The 9,728-nt window shown below is 48.3% G+C and overlaps 1 protein-coding gene across 5 annotated transcripts in view; it reads left to right on the forward strand.

The window, feature by feature from the left end:
• Window positions 1–9,460, forward strand: part of RNFT2 (ring finger protein, transmembrane 2) — a 115,317-nt gene extending 105,857 nt beyond the window's left edge. The window contains exons 11-12 of one of the 5 annotated variants that reach the window (NM_001109903.2): window positions 5,143–5,313; window positions 8,167–9,460. In NM_001109903.2, the coding sequence (NP_001103373.1) occupies window positions 5,143–5,277 (135 nt within the window). In that variant the 3' untranslated portion in view covers window positions 5,278–5,313; window positions 8,167–9,460. Of the gene's footprint in view, window positions 1–80; window positions 449–5,142 lie in introns of those variants that run through there. The other 4 variants (NM_001382266.1, XM_047429745.1, NM_032814.4 and 1 more) reach the window with 4 other exon arrangements.
• Window positions 9,461–9,728: the final 268 nt, after the last annotated feature.

Below are 9,728 nucleotides of genomic sequence, written 5' to 3' on the forward strand. Positions count from 1 at the left end.
GGTCATCACTCTGGTGGCTCATGAATATGTGCTTGTGTATTATGGGTTTTTTTTTTGTTTTGTTTCATTTTGTTTTTCAGACAGAGTCTCACCCTGTAGCCCAGGCTGGAATGTAGTGGCACGATCTTAGCTCACTGCAACCTCCACCTCCCAGGTCACGGTTCAAGCAATTCTCCTGCCTCAGCCTCCCGAGTAGCTGGGATTACAGGCACACGCCACCATGCCCAGCTGATTTGTGTATTTTTAGTGGAGACAGGCTTTCGCCATGTTGGCCAGGCTGGTCTTCAACTCCTGACCTCGTGATCTGCCCACCTTGGCCTCCCAAAGTGTTGGGATTACAGGCGTGAGCTACCGTGCCTGGCCATTATGTTTTAAATATGTCTCCGTTTCTATTTCTAAATATTTCTAATATTTCTAAATTTGTAAATATAGACAAATTTAAACCACATAGACAAAAGCTCTTTGAGGTCTTCAGTGTTTTTAAAAAATATAAAGGGGTCTTAGCACCAGAATATCTGAGAACTATTAAATTAGAAGTGTGAGAGCCTCAGTGAATGTGTTGAATGAATGAGTGAAAAAACTGCTAAATTTCATGGCTATTTCCCATTCACTTAACCAAGTCTATGTGAACAGGGGTTGTGTTGCATTCTCCTATGTAAGTACCTCTTTTGTCCAGGGTAGCATAGTTAAGTCCCATTTGGTTGGTCAATAGATATTTACTGAGCATCTGAGCAAGAACCGTACTCAGCATAAAACCAGGTTCTGCCCTCAGAAAGCTCTCAATCCAGTGGCTGGGCATGGTGGCTCACACCTATAATCCCAGCACTTTGAGAGGCCAAGGTGGGAGGATCACATGAAGCCAGGAGTTTGAGACCAGCCTGGGCAACAAAGTGAGACTCCATTTCCACAAAAAAATTAAAAAATTAGCCAGGCATGGTGGCACGTGCCTATAGTTGTAGCTACTTGGGAGATTGAAGCAGGAGGGTCACTCAAGCCCAGGAGATCAAGGCTGCTGTGAGCTGTGATCGCACCACTGCACTCAAGCCTGGATGACAGAGCAAGACCCGGTTTCAAAAAAAAAAAAAAAATATATATATATATATAGAGAGAGAGAGAGAGAGAGAGCTCTTAATCTAGTGAACAATCAGATGAATTTGCAAATAATTCCTCATGCAATGCTTTGAGAGGGGTTTTCACCAGGAAGAATGGCATAGGAGAGAAGACGCGATCAGTACTTACATTTGCAGGAGACAGTAACAGGATGGAATCGGGGCAACATCATAAAACAGGGGAGACATGATTGCTTGGCTGAGTCTTCCAAAAGAACTGGGCATGCACCCAGCTGGTCAAGATGGAGAAAGGGCATCCCAGAGTGATACTAAAGTTGGTTGGAAGGCTGTGAATAAGCCATGGGTTGAAGGTCATGTGGCACGTCAATGACATCAGTTACTCCAGGGTGTGAGGATGGGGCTGGACGGGAGACGGGCCATCATAGAGGGTAATGGGTGCCATAGTGGGAATCTGTAGAAGCTGCAGGGCTTGCTGACCCCTGGGTCCTGCCCTCCAGACCATGATGAGAATCCAGTATGGTCTTCGCGGCTCTGTGTGGACTTCTCTCCTTTCCCCAATCCCTCTCTCCCCTGCACCCCCAACTACAGCCACATCAGCTATCTTCAAGTGCCTCAAACATCTTCCTATCTCAGGAGCTTTGCACAGGAGACTTCCTTCAGCCTGGAATGTTCTATCTCTATCCCATCCCCTCTCTTCTGCCCAGTTAACTGCCAAATGTTCTTCAGGCTTCGACTCAAGTGTCCCCACCTCCAGGAAACCTTCCTTGACTACCCCTTGGATCAAACTGGTCCCTCTGTCACACACCTCCATAATACCATGGAAATCTCCTTCAGAGCACTGTCTACAATTAGGCACCCACTGTACACCATGCTAGGAATGAAGGGGTTTACAAGAAGCTTACAGCCTGGTATGGAGAGACAGATAATAAACTGTAAACACATAAGATAATAATCATTATTACTATCATAATAGCTAATAGTTATAGAGCACTTACTATTTGCCAGTCATTATTCCAAGTGCCTTCTTTTTTATATTATTGTTATTTTTTTAGACAAGGTCTCACTCTGTCTCCCAGGCTGGAGTGAAGTGGCATGATCATAGCTCATACAGCCTCAACCTCCTGGGCTCAAGCAATCCTCCCACCACTTCAGCCTCCCAAGTAGCTGGGACGGCACATGCCACCATGCCCAGCTAATTTTTTTTTTTTGTAGAGACATATGGGGCATGGGGGTGGAGGAAGTCTCGCCATGTTGCCCAGGCTGGTCTCAAACTCCTGGCCTCGAGCCATCCTCCTGCCTTCGCCTCCCAAAGTGCTGGGGTTATAGGCATGAGCCACTGTGCCCAGTTTCTTTTTTGTGGTTTTGCTTTTAAAAAAACATTTTGTTTAGATTTTTTTATTATTATTTCCTCAAATGTTTCATTTTGAAAAATTTCAAACCTGCAGGAAAGTTGCATGAAACTCTTCTATTCTTCATCCAGATTTACTGATCATTAACATTTTACATTTGCCCTTTTTTTGACATCAATTTTTTTTTCCCTAAACCAGTTAAGAGTAAGTGGTAGACATTTAGATTCTTCATCCCTAAATACTTCAGTGTGCATCTCCCAGGAACAAGGACATACTCTCAGATAATCACAATTCCACTAGCATGCCCAGGATTTTTTTTTTTTTTTTTTTTTGAGATGGAATCTAGCTCACTCTGTTGCCCAGGCTGGAGTGCAGTGGCGCGATCTTGGCTCACTGCAACCTCTGCCCCCTGGGTTCAAACGATTCTCCTGCCTTAGCCTTCCAAGTAGCTGGGACTATAGGCGTGTGCCACCATGCCTGGCTAATTTTTGTATTTTTAGTAGAGACGGGATTTCACCATGTTGGCCAGGCTGGTCTGAAACTCCTGACCTCAGTGATCCCCCCGCCTCAGCCTACCAAAGTGCTAGCATTACAGGTGTAAGCCACTGTGCCTGGCCACCCAGGAAATTTTAAATTAATGTGACATATTATTTAATATATGGTACATATTCAGATGTCTCCAGTTGCCTTCAAAGTGCCCTTTATAGCTGGCATTTTTTTTGCCACCCCTGGGACCAATCAAGACTCATGTGCTGCATTTGGTTGTCATAGCTAAGTACTTTTAACATGTTAATTAATCTTCCAATGAGGGGGTTCTATCCCCATTTTACAGATGGGGGAACTGAGGCACAGACAGGTTGCATTACTTGTCCAAGTTATACAGCCAGAGAACGGTGGAACCCATTGGTCTTTCCAATCTCCCTGCCTTTCTCTCTCTCTCTCTTTTTTTTTTTTGAGGCAGAGTTTTGCTCTCGTTGCCCAGGCTGGAACACAATGGCACGATCTCAGCTCACCGCAACCTCTGCCTCCAGGGTTCAAGTGATTCTCCTGCCTCAGCTTCCCGAGTAGCTGGGATTACAGGCATGTACCACCACGCCTGGCTAATTTTGTATTTTTAGTAGAGATGGGGTTTCTCCATGTTGGTCAGGCTGGTCTCAAACTCCTGACCTCGGGTGATCCGCCCACCTCAGCCTCCCAAACTGCTGGGATTACAGGTGTGAGCCACCGCGCCTGGCCCTCTCTCTTTTTTAAAAAATTTAATTTAATTTTAAGTTCCAGGATGCATGTGCAGGATATACAGGTTTGTTACATAGGTAAACGTGTGCCATGGTGGTTTGCTGCACCTATCAACCCATCACCTAGGTATTAAGCCCCACATGCATTAGCAATTTATCCTGATGTTCTCCCTCCCCCAGCCCCCGCAACAGGCCCCAGTATGTTGTTCCCCTCCCTGTATCCATGTGTTCTCATTGTTCAGCTCTGATTTATGAGTGAGAACATGTGGTGTTTGGTTTTCTGTTCCTGTGTTAGTTTGCTGAGGATAATGGCTTCCAGCTCCACCCATGTCCCTGCAAAGGACATGATCTCGTTCCTTTTTATGGCTGCATAGTATTCCATGGTGTATATGTACCACATTTTCTCTATCCAGTCTATCATTGATAAGCATTTGGGTTGATTCCATGTCTTTGCTATTGTGAATAGTGCTGCAGTGAACGTATGCGTGCATGTATCTGTTTATCGTAGCACTAGTTACCTGCCTTTCCTCTTGACCCTTGTGTTCTATTCTCAACCTAGAAGGCGGAGGGATCGCTTTAAACTGCAAATCATATCAGGTCACTCCTCTGCTCCAAGCCCTACCATGGGCCCCTTACTTCTCTCAGAATAAGAGCCAAAGACCTCACAATGGCCCACAAGTACCTACACCATATGCACCCCTCACCCTCCATCACTTCTGTGACCTCATCTCCCTCTCCCATCCACCCCAACAACCCCAGCCCAGCTATCCTCTCCTTCCTGTTCCTCCCGCACATCAAACACAGTCCAGCCTCAGGGCCTTTGCACATTGCTGTTGCTGCTAGAAGTGCTTTTCCCCAAGATCTCATCAGGGCTCACTCCTCACTGTCCTGCAAGTTTTACCCAAATGTCAGTATCTCCGTAAAGTTGTCCTTAACGTCCCAACCCGCCCAAGCCCTCCCTGTTCCTTCTCCCTCCTGCTTTTTGTTTGTTTGTTTTTTGTTTTTTTGTTTTTAGACAGATTCTTGCTCTGTCACCTAGGCTGGAGTGCAGTGGCACAAACTCAGCTCACTGCAACCTCTGCCTCCGGGTTCAAACGATTCTCTTGCCTCAGCCTCCCGAGTAGCTGGGACTACAGGCGCCCACCACCACGCCCGGCTAATTTTTGTATTTTTTAGTAGAGACTGGTTTTCACCATGTTGGCCAGGGTGGTCTCAAACTCCTGCCTCAGGTGATCCGCCCATCTCGGCCTCCCAAAGTGCTGGGATTACAGTCCTGAGCCACCACACCTGTCCCCTCCCCTGCTGTTTCATCTTGGTGCTTCCTACTGATAACTCAGTATTTTGGAGTCGCATTGTCTCCCCAACGCGAGTGCAGGCGCCCCGAAGGCAGGGGTTGTCTGTCTAGTCCGCTGCCCCTTCTCCTGCTCCCGAGACCGAGGCAGACGCTCAGTAAAGAGTCCTGGTGCCTGCTGATTGCTGTCCCCGCAGCACGTGTTCTGTGAGGAGTGCCTCTGCCTGTGGCTGGACCGTGAGCGCACCTGCCCGCTCTGCCGCTCGGTCGCCGTGGACACCCTGCGCTGCTGGAAGGACGGCGCCACGTCCGCACACTTCCAGGTGTACTAGGACCGAACACTGAGGACACCCAGAAGGACGCCAAGGGTCAGCATGCCCGGACCCAGCCCTGCGGGGGCTTCCTGAGAAACAGGCCTCAAGCACTTACATCCTGCCTCTTGCCCTCCACCACCTCTGACCCCAAAGTCCCGCCCCTGTCTTGTCCTTCTGACCTTCATCTTCCTCTCTCGTTCTGTGGTATAGTGCGTGCCTCCTTCCCCTGCAAAAGGGGACGTCTTCCTAACTCAGACTTGATGCCCTTCTAGATGCATCTTCCTTCTCCACTCCAAGTCAAGGACCTGGCAATACATGAAGTTCCCACTTGTTGGTTATTTTCTCTTTCTTTTTTCTTTTCTTTTCTTTCTCTCTCTCTCTGTTTCCCTCCCTCCCTCCTTCCTTCCTTCCTTCCTTTTTTTTTTTTTTTTAAAACAAGGTCTCGCTCTATCACCCAGGCTGGAGTGCAGTGGCACAATCTCGGCTCGCTGCAACCTCCACCTCCTGGGTTCAAGCGATTCTCCTGCCTCAGCCTCCCGAGTAGCTGGGATTACAGGCACCCACCAACACACTTGGCTAATTTTTGTATTTTTTAGTAGAGACAGGGTTTTGCCATGTTGGCCAGGCTGGTCTCCAACTCTTGACCTCAAATGATCAGCTCGCCTCAGCCTCACGAAGTGCTGGGATTACAGGCATGAGCCACCGTGCCCAGGCTCACTTTTTTTTTTTTTTTTTTTTTTTTGAGACAGGGTCTGGGTCTTCACCCAGGCTGGAGTGCAGTTGGCACAATCACAGCTCACTGCAACCTTGAACTCCTGGGCCCAAGCCATCCTCCCGCCTCAGCCTCCCAAGTAGCTGGGACTACAGGTGTGTGCCACCAGGCCTGGCTAATTTTTTTTTTTTTTTAATTTTTAGTAGAGGCGAGGACTTATTATGTTGTCCAGGGTGTTCTCAAACTCCTGGGCTCAAGCAATCCTCCTGTCCTGGCCTCGCAAAGTGCTGAGTGCTGGAATTACAGGTATGAGCCCCTGTGCCCAGCCCACCTGCTGGTTATTTTAACTTAGTACCTAGTACCTAGGACTTGATGGTGCAGGCTGGGGAGGAGCCTAGAGATCACTGCCTCCCAGATAGCCCAGGCCTGCAGATTAGAATCCCTGTGAGCCCTGTGAAGTATTTTTTCTTTTCTTTTCTTTTTTTTTTTTTTTTTGTTGTTGTGAGACAGAGTCTTGCTCTGTTGCCCAGGCTGGAGTGCAATAGCACGATCTTGGCTCACTGCAACCTCCGCCTCCCGGGTTCAAGTGATTCTCCTGCCTCAGCCTCCCGAGTAGTTGGGACAACAGATGCGTGCCACCATGCCCAGCTAATTTTTTTTTTGTATTTTTAGTAGAGATGGGGTTTCACCACGTTGGCCAGGCTGGCCTCAAACTCCTGACCTCAAGTGATCCACCTGCCTCAGCCTCCCAGAGTGCTGGGATTACAGGCATGAGCCACCACACCTGGCCCAAAGTATTTTCAAAATACAGTTGTTGGGCCCCACCATATACCTGTAATGACTTAAGGTCCCAAATACTTCATGCGCAGCAGGCAAAGCATGCAGCATCCTGCTTGGATTACGTGCTGTCATCCTCACAACAGCCCTGTGATGGGGGAGGTACTGTTGGGTCCCCTGTTTTATAGATGAGGAAACTTGGGCACAGAGCTTGGTGCGGTAACTTTCCCAGGGTCACCCAGCCAGCATGGGCGGGCCAAGTTTCCAACAGAGGCCTGGTACAGTTTCAGAACCCACATCTAAAAAAAAATAAATTTATTAGAGATGAGGTTTCTAATAAAAATCCAGGTTGTCCAGGCTAGATTCAAACTCCTGGGCTCAAGTGATCCTCCCTCCTCAGCCTCCCAAGCAGCTGCAACTACAGGCACACTCCGCTATCCCCAGCAGAGCCCGCACTCTTAACCTCCGCACTGCTCTGCCCCTCAGACATTCCAGGCATGGGGCCCAGCAGACACGGTCTTCTAAAAGCACACGAGAGGCCGGGTGTGGTGGCCCATGCCTGTAGTGCCAGCATTTTGGGAGGCTGAAGCAGGCGGGTCACCTGAGGTCAAGAGTTCAAGACTAGCCTGGCCAACATGGCAAAACCCCCTCTTTACTAAAAAATACAAAAATTAGCCGGGCGCGGTGGCGGGTGCCTGTAATCCCAGCTACTCAGGAGGCTAAGGCAGGGAGAACTGCTTGAACTCGGGAGGTGAAAGTTGCAGTGAGCCGAGATTGCACCACAGCACTCCAACCTGGGTGACAGAGTGAGTGAGACTCTGTCTAAAAAAAAAAAGAAAGAAAGAAGGGAGGGAGGGAGGAAGGAAGGAAGGAAGGAAAGAAAGAAAGGTCAGCTTTGGCCCAGATGTGGTTACCCCTTGGTCTCCTGTCTTTATGTCTTTCTCCTCTTCCTATTCTGTCATCTCCCTCACTTAAGTCTCAGGCCTGTCAGCAGCTCCTGTGGACATTGCCATCCCCTCTGGTAGCCTTCAGAGCAAACAGGACAACCTATGTTATGGATGTTTCCACCAACCAGGGTAGTGGCATGGAGCACCGTAACCATCTGTGCTTCTGTGATCTCTATGACAGAGCCACTTCTCCACCTCTGAAATGTTCCCTGCTCTGAAATCTGGCATGAGATGGCACAGGTGACCACGCAGAAGCCACCAGAATCTTGCCTGCCCTATTCCTCCTCCCAAGTCTGTTCTCTTATTGTCAACCTCAGCACAACAGGCTGGCGCCAATGGCATTACAGAGAAAGCAATCTGTGTGGCTAGTGGGCAGATTACCATGCAAGCCCCAGGAGAAATGGAGGAGCTTTGTAGCCACCTCGCTGTCAGCCAGTATTAACATGTCCCCTTCCCCCTGCCCCGCCGTAGATTCAGGACATTTGCCCCTGTGTGCCACCAAACCAGGACTTTCCCCTTGGCTTGGCATCCCTGGCTCTCTCCTGGTACCCAGCAAGACGTCTGTTCCAGGGCAGTGTAGCATCTTTCAAGCTCCGTTACTATGGCGATGGCCATGATGTTACAATCCCACTTGCCTGAATAATCAAGTGGGAAGGGGAAGCAGAGGGAAATGGGGCCATGTGAATGCAGCTGCTCTGTTCTCCCTACCCTGAGGAAAAACCAAAGGGAAGCAACAGGAACTTCTGCAACTGGTTTTTATCGGAAAGATCATCCTGCCTGCAGATGCTGTTGAAGGGGCACAAGAAATTGGAGCTGGAGAAGATTGATGAAAGTGCAGGTGTGTAAGGAAATAGAACAGTCTGCTGGGAGTCAGACCTGGAATTCTGATTCCAAACTCTTTATTACTTTGGGAAGTCACTCAGCCTCCCTGTAGCCATCTCCAGGGTGACGGAACCCAGTGTATTACCTGCTGGAACCAAGGAAACTAACAATGTAGGTTACTAGTGAATACCCCAATGGTTTCTCCAATTATGCCCATGCCACCAAAACAATAAAACAAAATTCTCTAACACTGCAAAGAGTGAGCCATGCCTGTTAACACTGTAAAGAATGTAACATGTGGGGGACACACAGGGGCAGATGGGATGGTTTAGTTTAGGATTTTATTAGTGCATGCCCTACCCTCTGGGGGAACGTCCCATCTGAGGTTTTCTTCTCGGTGGGGGGATTTAACTTCTGTCCTAGGGAAAACAGTGTCTGATGAGGAGTGTTTCCAACACAGGCTACATGAATTCCCCTATACCAGTGCGAAAGCAGCCAGGAGTCCCCGTTGGAAAAGAACAATGCCACTCTCTTTTATGTATCTTGGTTCTGCAACTCATTTGTTGTAAGTAGGGTTAATCGAGTATCAGGTTCACAGTATCCTGCCCTTATTATTTTATGATTCACTGACTCAAGTTCCACGAAGTCCTTAGAAATGGACCTCTTCATGTAAAATATCTTGAGAATAATAAATGTGAGGGAATAAGAAAGGCAAGCTTTGGACACAGATATGATAGGTGCATCAGCTTCGGAAGAGAAGAATGATGTGCAGAGTGTTAGGAAGACATCCGGGCTGCTGAGACTCGGGATTAGAAGAAAGAGAGGTAAATAAAGTGGGTCCTGGAATCTTTTAGGACTTCTGCTGTAGGACAAACAGCTGCCTTTGGTGTTTTAATGTCTCCCAAAGTACCCTTCAGCCAATAAATACCATCTGTTGGTGCAACTTGTGTTTGTGGTCTTGATTTTCCTTTCACCTCTTGAAGCCAAGTGCAACTGTCTTAGATCAAAGGAGAAGAAGCCCTTCGCGGAGTGGGTGGTTGTCTTATGTTGGTTTCTCCTAAAGCAGATCCTGTTCAGGTGCATGTGATTTATTACAGCAGTGCTCCCACGAGAAACCAGTAAGGGAATCATGAGTGAAATAGAACAGGGAAGGGAAAGAAGCCAAGCTCTGGCGAACTCTCAGTCTTAGCCGGATCCCCCAGGGAGCTCAG

Source organism: Homo sapiens, chromosome 12 (assembly GCF_000001405.40).
Source record: "Homo sapiens chromosome 12, GRCh38.p14 Primary Assembly".
NCBI lineage: Eukaryota > Metazoa > Chordata > Mammalia > Primates > Hominidae > Homo > Homo sapiens.